This window comes from Homo sapiens, chromosome 13 (genome assembly GCF_000001405.40).
Source record: "Homo sapiens chromosome 13, GRCh38.p14 Primary Assembly".
In the NCBI taxonomy this organism is placed as follows: domain Eukaryota; kingdom Metazoa; phylum Chordata; class Mammalia; order Primates; family Hominidae; genus Homo; species Homo sapiens.
In genome coordinates this window covers 52,240,925-52,257,294 of record NC_000013.11, presented here as the reverse complement: position 1 = coordinate 52,257,294, position 16,370 = coordinate 52,240,925, and the positions used below count along the sequence as shown (strand labels likewise).

Sequence of the window (16,370 nt, the reverse complement as noted above, 5' to 3'; positions counted from 1 at the left end):
TTTGAATGTGTCCCAGAGATTCTGGTATGTTGTGTCTTTGTTCTCGTTGGTTTCAAAGAACATCTTTATTTCTGCCTTCATTTCGTTATGTACCCAGTAGTCATTCAGGAGCAGGTTGTTCAGTTTCCATGTAGTTGAGCGGTTTTGAGTGAGTTTCTTAATCCTGAGTTCTAGTTTGATTGCACTGTGGTCTGAGAGATAGTTTGTTATAATTTCTGTTCTTTTACATTTGCTGAGGAGAGCTTTACTTCCAAGTATGTGGTCAATTTTGGAATAGGTGTGGTGTGGTGCTGAAAAAAATGTATATTCTGTTGATTTGGGGTGGAGAGTTCTGTAGATGTCTATTAGGTCCGCTTGGTGCAGAGCTGAGTTCAATTCCTGGGTATCCTTGTTGACTTTCTGTCTCACTGATCTGTCTAATGTTGACAGTGGGGTGTTAAAGTCTCCCATTATTAATGTGTGGGAGTCTAAGTCTCTTTGTAGGTCACTCAGGACTTGCTTTATGAATCTGGATGCACCTGTATTGGGTTCATATATATTTAGGATAGTTAGCTCTTCTTGTTGAATTGATCCCTTTACCATTATGTAATGGCCTTCTTTGTCTCTTTTGATCTTTGTTGGTTTGAAGTCTGTTGTATCAGAGACTAGGATTGCAACCCCTGCCTTGTTTTGTTTTCCATTTGCTTGGTAGATCTTCCTCCATCCTTTTATTTTGAGCCTATGTGTGTCTCTGCATGTGAGATGGGTTTCCTGAATACAACACACTGATGGGTCTTGACTCTTTATCCAATTTGCCAGTCTGTGTCATTAATTGGAGCATTTAGTCCATTTACATTTAAAGTTAATATTGTTATGTGTGAATTTGAACCTGTCATTATGATGTTAGCTGGTTATTTTGCTCGTTAGTTGATGCAGTTTCTTCCTAGTCTCGATGGTCTTTACATTTTGGCATGATTTTGCAGCGGCTGGTACTGGTTGTTCCTTTCCATGTTTAGTGCTTCCTTCAGGAGCTCTTGTAGGGCAGGCCTGGTGGTGACAAAATCTCTCAGCATTTGCTTGTCTGTAAAGGATTTTATTTCTCCTTCACTTATGAAGCTTAGTTTGGCTGGATATGAAATTCTGGGTTGAAAATTCTTTTCTTTAAGAATGTTGAATATTGGCTCCCACTCTGTTCTGGCTTGTAGAGTTTCTGCCGAGAGATCCGCTGTTAGTCTGATGGGCTTCCATTTGTGGGTAACCCGACCTTTCTCTCTGGCTGCCCTTAACATTTTTTCCTTCATTTCAACTTTGGTGAATCTGACAATTATGTGTCTTGGAGTTGCTCTTCTCGAGGAGTGTCTTTGTGGCGTTCTCTGTATTTCCTGAATCTGAATGTTGGCCTGCCTTGCTAGATTGGGGAAGTTCTCCTGGATAATATCCTGCAGAGTGTTTTCCAACTTGGTTCCATTCTGCCCATCACTTTCAGGTACACCAATCAGACGTAGATTTGGTCTTTTCACATAGTCCCATATTTCTTGGAGGCTTTATTCGTTTCTTTTTATTCTTTTTTCTCTAAACTTCCCTTCTCGCTTCATTTCATTCATTTCATCTTCCATCGCTGATACCCTTTCTTCCAGTTGATCGCATCGGCTCCTGAGGCTTCTGCATTCTTCACGTAGTTCTTGAGCCTTGGCTTTCAGCTCCATCACCTCCTTTAGGCACTTCTCTGTATTGGTTATTCTAGTTATACGTTTCGTCTAAATTTTTTTCAAAGTTTTTAACTTCTTTGCCTTTGGTTTGAATTTCCTCCTGTAGCTCGTAGTTTGATCATCTGAAGACTTCTTCTCTCAATTCGTCAAAGTCATTCTCCATCCAGCTTTGTTCTATTGCTGGTGAGGAACTGCGATCCTTTGGAGGAGGAGAGGCGCTCTGCTTTTTAGAGTTTCCAGTTTTTCTGCTCTGTTTTTTCCCCATCTTTGTGGTTTTATCTACTTTTGGTCTTTGATGATGATGATGTACAGATGGGTTTTTGGTGTGGATGTCCTTTCTGTTTGTTAGTTTTCCTTGTAACAGACAGGACCCTCAGCTGCAGGGCTGTTGGAGTTTGCTAGAGGTCCACTCCAGACCCTGGGTATCAGCAGCGGTGTCTGCCGAACAGTGGTTTTTCGTGAACCGCGAATGCTGCTGTCTGATAGTTCCTCTGGAAGTTTTGTCTCAGAGGAGTACCCGGCTGTGTGAGGTGTCAGTCTCCCCCTACTGGGGAGTGCCTCCCGGTTAGGCTGCTCAGGGGTCAGGGGTCAGGGACCCACTTGAGGAGGCAGTCTGCCCGTTCTCAGATCTCCAGCTGCATGCTGGGAGAACCACTGCTCTCTTCAAAGCTGTCAGACAGGGACATTTAAGTCTGCAGAGGTTACTGCTGTCTTTTTGTTTGTCTGTGCCCTGCCCCTAGAGGTGGAGCCTACAGAGGCAGGCGGGCCTCCTTGAGCTGTGGTGGGCTCCACCCAGTTGGAGCTTCCAGGCTGCTTTGTTTACCTAAGCAAGCCTGGGCAATGGCGGGCGCCCCTCCCCCAGCCTTGCTGCTGCCTTGCAGTTTGATCTCAGACTGCTGTGCTAGCAATCAGCGAGACTCCGTGGGCGTAGGACCCTCCAAGCCAGGTGCAGGATATAATCTCCTGGTGCGCCATTTTTTAAGCCCGTCGGAAAAGCGAAGTATTGGGGTGGGAGTGACCCAATTTTCCAGGTGCCGTGTGTCACCCCTTTCTTTGACTAGGAAAGGGAACTCCCTGACCCCTTGCGCTTCCCCAGTGAGCCAATGCCTCGCCCTGCTTCGGCTCGCGCCCGGTGCGCTGCACCCAGTGACCTGCGCCCACTGTCTGGCACTCCCTAGTGAGATGAACCCGGTACCTCAGATGGAAATGCAGAAATCACCCGTCTTCTGCATCGCTCACACTGGGAGCTGTAGACCGGAGCTGTTCCTATTCGGCCTCCTTGGCTCCGCGATCTCTTGCGTGGTTTCTAACTACCCTGCAATAATATAATGATAGTCTGCTAGAAAGTTAAAAATTACACCTATTAAACAAAAGTAAGTTGAGTTTAGGTGACATGAGATGGATAATCTGCTTATATGCTTATGTTTTTGAGATTCTTAAGTTTATTTTAGAGCAGCAGAAGCAACTTGGAAAGCTCCTTTTGAAGATGGATAGGGAATTTCTAATAAGATATTTTATGTTGCTCATAACTTCATCATTTACTATGTTATTATATATAGAGATATGACATACATATTATTTATTTTAGGTGAAAGAGCTTATGATCCTAAGCACTTCCATAATAGGGTCAGTAGAATCATGATCGATGATCATAATGTCCCCACTCTACGGTAAGTTTTATGCTAAGTTGACTATGAGAAGGGGGCTAAATCTATTGGGCTTGATTTTTTGAAAATATTTTAACTCAACTAAAAATCCTAACCTTGAAATCAGGGAGATGGTAGCATTCTCCAAGGAAGTGTTGGAGTGGATGGCTCAAGATTCTGAAAACATCGTAGTGATTCACTGTAAAGGAGGCAAAGGTAATAACGTTTTCCTTTTTATTCCTCCCATTCTAAAGACGTGTAAGGATATGTAAAGCACAAGAACAAGATACCTGTTGCTATTAATAAGTATTAGTAATTGTTAGCATTTAAAAGTATTAGCTGTAAGACTGAAAGAAGGGAAGGAGAAAGGAAAGAGGAGAGGAGGAAGAGTAGGAGATAGGGAGAGGATAAGGAAGGGAAGAAAGTAGGAAAAAAGAACTAAGGAGGGTTGAGCATATTTTCTCTTGTTTTTCTATTTGGATATCTTTGTTTTTGGTTTGCCAGTTTATATCTCTCAAAATACAAAGTCTTTAATTTTGGAGTGTCAGAGTAGTTTTATTTAAGGCTGCTCTTTTTTATTTTTAAATTAACAAATAAAAATCAGTATATTCATGGTATACCACATGATGTTTTGATATATGTAAACATTGTAAAATGGCTAAATCAACCTAATTAACATATGCATTACTCCACATACTTTTTACTTTTTTGTGGTGAGAACATTTAAATTGTACTCTCTCAGTAATTTTCAAATCTATATTATTATTAACTATGGTCACCATGTTGTGCAATAAATTTCCTGAACTTATTCCTGTCTAACTGAAATTTTGCATCCTTTAACTGACATCTCCACAATCCCTCCTTTTTGTTCCCCCCAGCCCCTGGTAACCACCATTCTACTCTCTGCTTCTATGAATTTGACATTTTTAGAGTCCACAAAGAAGTGAGACATCCAATATTTGTCTTTCTATGCCTGGCTCCTTTCACTTAGCATAACGTTCTCCAGGCTCATCCTTGTTATCTCAAGGGACAGGATATCCTCTAAGGCCGAACAGTGTGTTCTTATTTATATATACCAGGTATTCTTTATCTGTTCTTCCATTGATGACATTTAGATTGACTCCATAGCTTGGCTATTATGAATAATGCTGCAGTGAACATGGGAGTGCAGATTTCATTTTCTTTGGACATATACCCAGAAGTGGAATCTCCAAATCATATGGTAGTTCTATTTTTTTATTTTTAGTTTTTTGAGGTGTCCCTATGCTGTTTTCCATAATAACTACTAATTTACACTCACACCAACAGTGTACAAGAGGGTTCTCTTTTCTCTACATCCTCACCAACTCTTCTTTTGTCTTTTTGTTAATCACCATCCTAACAGGTATGAGGATATCTCTTTGTGATTTTAATTTGGTTTTCCTGATGATTAATGATGTTGAGCATTTTTTCATATACCTCTTGGCCATTCATATGTCTTCTTTTGAGATATATCTTTTCAGGTTCTTTGCCCATTTTTTAGAGAAGTAACTTGTTCTCTTGTTATTGTGTTGTTTGAGTTCCTTTAAAAAAAAAATTAACCTGTTCTTGAATATATGCTTTGCAGGTATTTTTCTCCCATTCTGTAGGTGGTCTCTTTATAATTGTTTCCTTTGCTGTGCAAAAGCTTTTCAGTTTGATACAATGTCATTTGTCTATTTTTTCTTTTGTTGCCTGTGCTTTTCAGTCATATCCAAAAAATCTTGGCCCAGACCAGTGTCAAGAAACTTTTCCCCTATGTTTTCTTCTAGTAGTTTTCCAGTTTCAGGTTTCACAGTTAAGTCTTTACTTTGAGTTGATTTTTGTACACTGGGTGAGATAGGGTGCAGTTTCATTCTTCCGCAAGTGGATGTCCAGTTTCCCCAGTATTGTTTATTGAAGAGACTGTCCTTTCCTCATCGTGGATTCTTGGCACCTTTGTTGAAGATCAGCTGAAAAATGCACGGATTTATTCTGGGCTTTCTATTCTGTTCCATTGATCTATATGTCTGTTTTTGTTCCAGTAATATTTAAGTTTGTTCTTAAACTTGGTGAGAATCTTTTAGATTAAGGGAGCCAACACAGAGATGCTATTTCAAAAATTATACTGGACTTATGATAGTGTAATGATACAAAGAAGTTTATATTGGTGGGGTTAAAATGGGGGGAAAAGCCACTTGTAAATCCAATCAATTTAAGTTCAGTTAGATTTTCTCTCATTCAGGTTTAGGCTTTGAATAATCATCTAAGTATATTTCACAATTTTTGATAAACATAAAGAATTACCTTCTTAGAGGGCTGTAAAACCATTTTTATATCAAATTCCAGGAAAACATAACACTGTAAACTGACTTATGTTATTCAATAAAATGAAGTTTTAGTTTTATTGAGAACTAGTTTCAAGCCCATTAGTTAATATACCGGTTCAGTGTTTAGCTCTACAGGTTTGAATATTCTGTATAAAGTGGCAATTTACAATATCATAGTTAAATTAAGAATATAGAAGTTGAATCATTTGAAGTTCCCAGTTTTTTAACCATCTTTTGGTTTAAAAATGGCCATTTCACATTGCCTAACCTAACATGTTATTTTTCAAGCAGTAGCATCAGTTTTCTATTAACTAATACTAATTCCTTGCTTGAAGGATTTCAAATTTGACTTTTTTCTAAAAACTTTTGCTGAGAGGGGGTTTGCATAATTCTGGGTTCACATAATATTTTGTTGATTTTTTTAGGTTGTTTAGAGAATATTCAGCTGGTATGCACCAGAGAAGCCTCTTTTTAAAAATGTTCATTCAAATTAATCTTGCTGTCTTGTGATTGGTTGCTGCCTGCAGGTTATCAGTAGTATCATGAGAGTAGAAATATTTTATTATTGATTTATAGGAGTTCTTTAAAGAATCTAAATGCCAATTTTTCTTAGTATTGCAAGTATATTCTCCCACTGTGTTGTCTTTTAAATTTGATTGTGATTTATTTTGTTGTATAAAAGCTTGTAAATTTGTGTTTTGTTTTGAGACACAGTCTCGTTCTGTCACCCAGGCTGGAGTACAATGGCTCAATCTCGGCTCATTGCAGCCTCAACCTCCCTGTACTCAAGTGATCTTCCCGCCTCAGCCCCTCTGAGTAGGTGGGATTACAGGCACGCGCCACCACGCCGGGGCAATTTTTGTATTTTTTGTAGAGACAGGGTCTCCCTATGTTGCCCAGACTGGTCTTGAACTCCTGGACTCAAATATTCCACTCGCCTCAGCTTCCCAAAGTGCTGGGATTATAGGCATGAGCCATTGTGCCAGCAAGAAGTTTGTAATTTTGAATGTGGTAAAATGTGTTAATCGATGTGTTTGTATTTCATGCTTTTCTGTCATGTTTAAGAAATTCACCCCTATACTGAGGTAGTAAAGATATTCCACATTTCTTCAAAAATCTTCAAGTTGCATTTTTAATATTTGGGTCTTAAATCTAATTGAAATTTGGGGGAGGTTTTTTTTTCATATGGATAGCCAACGGTCCTAACAGCATCAATTGCATGCTATTTTGTTCTCCATTTATTTGTGATTCCTCTCAATCATATACCAAGTTTCTAGAAATATTCAAAATTGTTTCTAAGTTCTCTATATCACACTTTTGTAATTATTGTAGCTTTATATTGTAGTTTGATAAAGGCAGAATTGTCTTGCTCTTCTTGGAACGTTATTCTTTCATTAAATTTTAAAATCATTTTGTCAAGTTCCATTATAAAACACGCTTAGGATTTTCATTGGAACTACATTGAATTTATAGATTCACTCGAGAGAACTGACAACTTTGTGATAATAAGTTATACATGTGATTGATCTTGTTCATTCTTTAATTAAATATTTTATATTTTCTTCATCATGTCTTTGCACATCTTTTCACAAATTCATTCCTACACAAATTGTGACTGCAAGTGGAATCTCTTTTTTTTTTTCCTGTTACATTTGGGTTGTTTCCAGTTTTTACTATGATAAATAATGCTACTTTTTTTTTTTTTTTTTAGACGGAGTCTCACTCTGTCACCCAGGCTGGAGTGCAGTGGTATGATCTCGCGCACTGCAACCTCTGCCTCCCAGGTTCAAGTGATTTTCATCCCTCAGCCTCTGGAGTAGCTGGGATTACAGGCGCCTGCCACCACGCCTGGCTGTTTTGTATTTTTAGTAGAGACAGGGTTTCACCATGTTGGCCAGGCTGGTCTCGAACTGCTGACCTCAAGTGATCTGCCTACCTCGGCCTACCAAAGAGCTGATATTACAGGGTGAGCCACTGCGCCTGGCCCAATAATGCTGCTTTTAAAAATACATGTTTCTTGTTGCATATGTGGCCATATTTTTGTTGAGTATGTACCTCAGACTAAAATGGTTCTGTCTTAAGGTAATGAATCTTGAACTTTACTTGATAATGTCACCTGTTTCTAAAACAGTTGTACCAATTTTCACTCCACTGGTATCGCACACTCGAAGCATTCCATATCTTCCCCAGTACTTGCAATTCTGAGTATTTTGATTTTTAGCCATTGGGTGTTTGTGTGATGGCATATTATGGTGGTGTTCATTTGCATTTCTATAATTACTAATAAGATTGAAGAAGTTTTCTTAATATTATTAAGTATTTGGATATCCTTTTTTGTAAAGTAACTGTTAAGTTTTCTTACCCATTTTTCTCCTGGATTATTTGTCTTTTTTTCTCTTGATTTGCAGTTTTTTATATATTCTGATTTCCATTCTGTTATTGGTCATATATGTATTTCAAGAAAACTTTTCTGCTCTGTGATTTGCCTTTTCTCTCTCTTAGGAGTATCTTTTGGTTAACAGAAGTTCTTAGTTGTATTACCATCATAGGTATTATGCTTTCTCTTTATAAAGTTTGTGTTTTTGTGTCCTGATTAAGAAAATTTTCCTTGAGTTTAAAGACATTCTACTACTATATTTTCTTCTAGATGGTTCATTCATTTAAAAATTGATTTATAGGTGTGGTGTGAGGAAGAGGTTAAGTTTCATCTTTTTCCATATATGGCTATCCAATTATTCCAGTACACTGGTTGAGAAGATTTTTATTTCTTTACTTCCCTGCAGAACATGAGTCTGCTTCTGACCTTTCTATTCTGTTCATTGATTTTTCATCTGTGTGCCAATAGCACAACCATCTTACTGTAGCTTTCTAATAGTCCTTATTTCCAGTCAAGTGAGGACAATCATCTTTTTCTTCATAATTGTTTGTGTATTTTAGGCCGTCTACATTTCCATATAAATTTGGGAATCAAACAAAAGGCAGCAGAAACCTCTGCAGACTTAAATGTCTCTGTCTGACAGCTTTGAAGAGAGTAGTGGTTCTCCCAGCACGGAGTTTGAGATCTGAGAACGGACAGACTACCTCCTCAAGTGGGTCTCTGACCCCTGAGTAGCCTAACTGTGAGGCACCGCCCGGTAGGGGCAGACTGACACCTCACATGGCCGGGTACCCCTCTGAGACAAAGCTTCCAGCGGAATGATCAGGCAGCAACATTTGCTGTTCAGCAATATTCGTTGTTCTGCAGCCTCCGCTGCTGATACCCAGGCAAACAGGGTCCGGAGTGGACCTCCAGCAAACTCCAACAGACCTGCAGCTGAGGGTCCTGACTGTTAGAAGGAAAACTAACAAACAGAAAGGACATCCACACCAAAACCCCATCTATACGTCACCATCATCAAAGACCAAAGGTAGATAAAACCACAAAGATGGGGAAAAAACAGCAGAAAAGCTGAAAATTCTAAAAATGAGAGCACCTCTCCCCCTCCAAAGGAACACAGCTCCTCGCCAGCAAAGGAACAAAGCTGGACGGAGAATGATTTCGACGAATTGAGAGGAGAAGGCTTCAGACAATCAAACTTCTCCGAGCTAAAGGAGGAAGTTCAAACCCAATGCAGGGAAGCTAAAAACCTTGAAAGAAGATTAGACAAATGGCTGACTAGAGTAACCAGTGTAGAGAAGTTCATTCATCATACTGAATGGGCAAAAACTGGAAACATTCCCTTTGAAAACTGGCACAAGACAGGGATGCCCTCTCTCACCACTCCTATTCAACATAGTGTTGGAAGTTCTGGCCAGGGTGATCAGGCAGGAGAAAGAAATAAAGGGTATTCAATTAGGAAAAGAGGAAATCAAATTGTCCCTGTTTGCAGATGACTTGATTGTATATCTAGAAAACCCCATCATCTCAGCCCAAAATCTCCTTAAGCTGATAAGCAACTGCAGCAAAGTCTTGGGATACAAAATCAATGTGCAAAAATCACAAGCATTCTTATACACCAATAACAGACAAACAGAGAGCCAAATCATAAGTGAACTCCCATTCACGATTGCTTCAAAGAGAATAAAATACCTAGGAATCCAACTGACAAGGGATGTGAAGGACCTCTTCAAGGAGAACTACAAACCACTGCTCAACGAAATAAAAGAGGTTACAAACAAATGGAAGAACATTCCATGCTCATGGGTAGGAAGAATCAATATTGTGAAAATGGGCATACTGCCCAAGGTAATTTATAGATTCAATGCCATCCCCATCAAGCTACCAATGACTTTCTTCACAAAATTGGAAGAAACTACTTTAAAGTTCATATGGAACCAAAAAAGAGCCCGCATTGCCAAGTCAATCCTAAGCCAAAAGAAGAAAGCTGGAGGCATCACGCTACCTGACTTCAAACTATACTATGAGGCTACAGTAACCAAAACAGCATGGTACTGGTACCAAAACAGAGATATAGACATATAGAGATATGGAACAGAACAGAGCCCTCAGAAATAATACCACACATCTACAACCATCTGATTTTGACAAACCTGACAAAAACAAGAAATGGGGAAAGGATTCCCTATTTAAAAAATGGTGCTGGGAAATGGTGCTGGGAAAACTGGCTAGCCGTATGTAGAAAGCTGAAACTGGATCCCTTCCTTACACCTTATACAAAAATTAATTCAAGATGGATCAAAGACTTAAATGTTAGACCTAAAACCATAAAAAACCCTAGAAGAAAACCTAGGCAATACCATTCAGGACATAGGCATGGGCAAGGACTTCATGTCTAAAACACCAAAAGCAATGGTAACAGAAGCCAAAATTGACAAATGGGATCTAATTAAACTAAAGAGCTTCTGCACAGCAAAAGAAACTACCATTAGAGTGAAGAGGCAACCTACAGAATGGGAGAAAATTTTTGCAATCTACTCATCTGACAAAGGGCTAATATCCAGAATCTACAAAGATCTCAATCAAATTTACAAGAAAAAAACAAACAACCCCATCAAAAAGTGGGTGAAGGATATGAACAGACACTTCTCAAAAGAAGACATTTATACATCCAACAGACACATGAAAAAATGCTCATCATCACTGGTCATCAGAGAAATACAAATCAAAATCACAATAAGATACCATCTCACAACAGTTAGAATGGCTATCATTAAAAAGTCAGGAAACAACAGGTGCTGGAGAGGATGTGGAGAAATAGGAACACTTTTACACTGTTGGTGGGACTGTAAACTAGTTCAACCATTGTGGAAGACAGTGTGGCGATTCCTCAAGGATCTAGAACGAGAAATACCATTTGACCCAGCCATCCCATTACTGGGTATATACCCAAAGGATTATAAATCATGCTGTTATAAAGGCACATGCACACGCATGTTTATTGCAGCACTATTCACAATAGCAAAGACTTGGAACCAACCCAAATGTCCATCAATGACAGACTGGATTAAGAAAATGTGGCACATATACACCATGGAATACTATGCAGCTGTAAAAAAGGATGAGTTTGTGTCCTTTGTAAGGACATGGATGAAGCTGGAAACCATCATTCTCAGCAAACTATCACAAGAACAAAAAACCAAACACCGCATGTTCTCATTCGTAGGTGGGAATTGAACAGTGAGAACACTTGGACACAGGAAGGGGAACATCACACACCAGGGCCTGTTATGGGGTGGGGGGAGGGGGGAGGGAAAGCATTAGGAGATATACCTAATGTAAATGACGAGTTAATGGGTGCAGCACACCAACATGGCACATGTATACATATGTAACAAACCTGCACGTTGTGCACATGTACCCTAGAACTTAAAGTATAAAAAAAAAAAATTGGGGAGTCAGCTGGTCAAATACACACACCTGATAGAAATTTGTTTGGAATTGTGTTGAATCTATAGATTGGGGAGAATTGAATCTTTACAATATTGACCCATCCAACCCATGAAGAGAGATGTTCTCTCATTCAGTTAGGTTTCCTTCCATTTCTCTTTACAATGTTTTCTCATTTTCTGTGTAGAAAGCTTGCATATTTTTGATGAGATTTATTCCTAGATATTTGATATTTTGTGGTTATTTAAATGATATCCCTTTAAAATGTTTATTTTCTAAATGTTGTTGATTTAAATGCAGTTCATTTTATTCATTAATCTTGTAATTAGCAACTTGACTAAACTCACTTTTTTTTTGTTTGTTTGTGTGTTTTGAGATAGGGTTTCATTGTCACCCAGGCGGGAGTGCAGTGATGCGATCATGGCTCACTGCAGCTTCAACCTCCCTGGGCTCAGGGAATCCCTCCCACATCAGCCTCCCGAGTAGCTAGGACTGCAGGCAGGTGCCACCATGCCCAGCTAATTTTTTTATTTTTTTGTAGAAACGGGGTTTTGCCATGTTGCCCCAGATTGGTCTCAAACTCCTGGGCTCAAGTGATCTGCCAGCCTCAGCCTCTGCCTCCTAAAATGCTAGGATTACAGACCTGAGCCATTGTGCCCAGCCTAAACTCACTTATTAGTTCTACTAAATTATCTATAGATTCTTTTGGATTTTATAGTACACAGTTATATCATGTGAAAATAATACATTGTATTTTTTCCTTTTCAGTCATTTTTCTCCCTAGCACTGGCTAGAACCTTCAGTACAGTGTTGAATTAGAAGTGGCAACAGCAGCCATCAGTGTACACTTCTATTCTCAAAGGAAAAGCTTTCAGTGTCTCTCCAATTGCTTTACGAGCGTGTGTGTGTGTGTGTGTGTGTGTGTGTGAGCTACCATTTATCAGATGAAGAAATTCCTTAGCCAGGCGCCATGGCTTTCGCCTGTAATCCCAGCACTTTGCGGGGCCCAGTGGGGCACATCATTTCAGACCAGCCTGGGCAACATGATGAAACCCCATCTCTACTAAAAAATAAAAAATTAACCAGGTGTGGTGGTGCATGCCTGTAATACCATCTACTCCAGAGGCTGAGGCACGAGAATTGCTTGAACTCAGGATGCAGAGATTGCAGTGAGCCAATATCACACCACTGCTCTCCAGCCTAGGTGACAGAGCGAGACATTGGCTCAACAAAAAAAAAAAAAAAGAAAGAAAAAAGAAAAAACAATGTCTTTAGTTTGCTGAGAGAGTTTTTTTTTTAATCATGAATGGATGTTGAATTTTTCCAGATTTTTCTGAATCTTTGAGATGATAATTTTTCCCCTTTATCTTATAAATAAATGTGGCTAATTACATGATTGATTAAGTGGTAAACCAACATATTTCTGGAATAAATGTGATTGAGTTGTGGTATACTATTTTATTAAATAATTATTAAACTTTTTAAATTAAATTCCTGGATTCTATTTGTTAATATTTGTTGAGGATTTTCAAATTCATGTCATCAGTGTGATTGGTTGTAATTTTCCTTTCTCATAGTTTTTTCAAATCTTGGCTTCATAAAATGAGTTAGATTTCATTTTCTCTTTTTTTATTCCCTCGATGAATTTATGCGTGCTGGTTTTTTTTTTCTTTTTAAGTGTACGATGAAATTCACCTGTGAAGCTACATTTGTCTAGAGTTTTCTCTGGGGAGAAGTTTTTAAATTATCGCTCAGTTTCGTATATAGAATTCTCTCTAATTTTATTTCCTTAGCCTGTTTTGGTAGGTTATTGTTTTCCCAGCATTTGTCCATTTAATCTAAGTTTGCGAATGTCTTGGCATCAGATTATTCACAATATCACTTTACCATTTTAATGTCTACAGGGGCATTCCCTTTTTATTCCTTACATTATTTTCTTGGTGCCTTCTCCCTTTGTTTCTTTTGATTAGTCTCACCAGGGAATTATCAATTTTACTAGTCTTTTAAAAGTAACAAATGTGGCTGAGCGCGGTGGCTCATGCCTGTAATCCCAGCACTTTGGGAGGCCAAGGCGGGCGGATCACGAGGTCAGGACATCTAGACCATCCTGGCTAACACGGTGAAACCCCGTCTCTACTAAAAACACAAAAAATTATCCGGGTGCGGTGGCGGGCGCCTGTAGTCCCAGCTGCTCGGGAGGCTGAGGCAGGAGAATGGCGTGAACCCGGGAGGCAGAGCTTGCAGTGAGCTGAGATCGCATCACTGCATTCCAGCCTGGGTTACAGAGCGAGAGTCCATCTCAAAAATAAATAAATAAATAAATAAATAAATAAAATAACAAATTTTTGGGCTTACTAATGGACTCTATTATTTACTTTTTATTTCATGAATTAGTATTATATTTAGTATTTTCTTTTGTATTCCATGGGTTAATTTGTTCTTTTCCTGACTTCTTGAGATGAATAATTCTTAGAGTGTCGACCACTCTGTTTTCTGTTTAGCATTTAAGGCTATACATTTTCTTCTAAGAGTTGCTTTAGCTTCGTCCCACAAGTTTTCATATGTAATATTTTCATTTTATTGGGTTCAAATTATTTTCCAATTTTCACTGTGCTTGGTGGTTTTTTTTTTTTTTGACCCGTGAGTTGTGTAGAAGTATACTTCCTTATTTGCAAACATAGGAGACTTTTGCATTTATCTTTAAGTTTTTTATTTGTGAAGCCAGGCGCAGTGGTTCACGCCTGTAATCCCAGCAATTTGGGAGGCCGAGGAGGTGGTTTACCTGAGGTCAGGAGTTCGAGACCAGCCTGACCAACATGGAGAAACCTCGTCTCTACTAAAAGTACAAAAATTAGCCAGGTGTGGTGGCACATGCCTGTAATCACAGCTACTCGGGAGGCTGAGGCAGGAGAATCGCTTGAACCCAGGAGGCGGAGGTTGCGGTGAGCCAAGAACACGCCATTGTACTCCAGCCTGGGCAACAAGAGCGAAACTCCATCTGAAAAAAAAAAAAAAAAGTTTTTCATTTCTGGTTGTATTGTGCTGTGGACACAGAACATACTATTTTTTTTTTCTTCCAAATTTGTGTAGACTTGGTTTATGGCCTAGAATTTGGTTGATATTGTTAAATGTTTTCTGTACACTTGAAAAGAACACGTATTATGCATTGTTGAGAACAATGTTCTATGTACGTGCATTTGTTAATTTATTTAACTCTTCTATATTCTTACTGACTTGTGTTTTGGTTTGATTGAATTTTGATAATTTTTTCCTTCTCACTCTCTCCCATTACCTTGGAAGTTATATACTCCTTTTCTATTTTTTTAGTAATTACTGTAAAGATTTCAACCTGAATCCTTGATTTAGCTATTAATTTTTGTTTATGTTGAGCCTGCATCTAGAAATCTTCCTAAACTCTCTCAACTCTCTTGTTAGATTAATGAGTTATTCTATAGATTTACTGACTACACGGACTTACTACACTGGCTAGGCTCTGCAGTACATTGTTAAATGGAAGCAGTGAACAGAGGGCATTTTTGCTTAATTCCAGGCTTTAAAGAAAATGCTATCAATATTACATCATTAATATGATGTTCCTGGTAGGTGTTTTGGTAGATTCCCTTTGTTGAGTTAAAGAAGTGTCCTAGTTTTTATTAATTTTTAAAGTCACAGTTGTAGGTTGAATTTTAGTTAATGCTTTCTCTGCATTAATTGACATAATTGCAAGGTATGTCTACTTTAATCTGTGAATATGATAAATTACATTAATATAGATTTCTGATATAGGATGATTCTTTTTTGTTTGTTTGAGACGGAGTCTCGCCCTGTCGCCCAGGCTGGAGTGCAGTGGCGTGATCTCGGCTCACTGCAAGCTCCGCCTCCCGGGTTCACGTCATTCTCCTGCCTCAGCCTCCCGAGTAGCTGGGACTACAGGCGCCCGCCACCACGCCCGGCTAATTTTTTTGTATTTTTAGTAGAGACGGGGTTTCACCGTGTTAGCCAGGATAGTCTAGATGTCCTGACCTCGTGATCCGCCCACCTCGGCCTCCCAAAGTTCTGGGATTACAGGCAAGAGCCACCGCGCCCGGCCTAGGATGATTCTTGTATTTTTATTTGTTTTTTTAATGGGCAAAGAAATTTTTTTTTTTTTGAGCTTAGTTTTTTGGTATAATTTCCACTTTGATTTTAGATTTGGAAGTACATGTGTAGGTTTATTACCTGGGTATATTGTGTGATACCGAGGTGTGGGGTATGATTGATCCCATCACCCAGGTACTGAGCATAGGACCCAATAGTTTTTCAACCTGTGTCCCCTTCTGCTGTGCCCCCTCTAGAATTCCAGTGTCCATTATTGCCACCTTGATATCCATGAGCATCTATTGTTTAGCTTTCACTTATAAGTGAGAACATATGGTATTTGGTTTTCTGTTCCTGCATTAATTTGCTTAGGATAATGACTTCCAGCTGCATCCATGATGCTGCAAAGGACATGATATTATTTTTTTATGAATGTGTAGTATTCCATGGTGTGTATGTACCACATATTCTTAAGCCAGTCCACCACTGATGGGCACCTAGGTTGATTCTGTGTCTTTCCTGTTGTCAGTAGTGCTGAGAAGAGCATGCCAGGGCCTGTGTCTTTTTGTTAGAACAACTTACTTTCTTTTGGATGCATACGCAGTAATAGGATTGCAATGTCAAATGGTAGTTCTAAGTTTTTGAGAAATCTCCAAACTGCTTTCCAGGTAGCTGAACTAATTTACATTCCCATTAGCAGTGTATATGTGTATACTCTGCAGCCTTGTCAGCATCTGTTGTTTTTTGACTCTTTAATAATAGCCATTCCGACTGGTATGAGATGTAATCATGTTGTGGTTTTGAT

General features: G+C 39.0%; 1 pseudogene across 1 annotated transcript in view; it reads left to right on the top strand.

Annotated features, from left to right (window-relative positions):
• Nucleotides 1-16,370, top strand: part of TPTE2P2 (TPTE2 pseudogene 2) — a 104,605-nt pseudogene that overhangs the window by 66,041 nt on the left and 22,194 nt on the right. The window contains exons 15-16 of the transcript XR_007063808.1: nt 3,277-3,358; nt 3,462-3,550. The product of XR_007063808.1 is annotated as a TPTE2 pseudogene 2 (transcript). The remainder of the gene's footprint in view (nt 1-3,276; nt 3,359-3,461; nt 3,551-16,370) is intronic.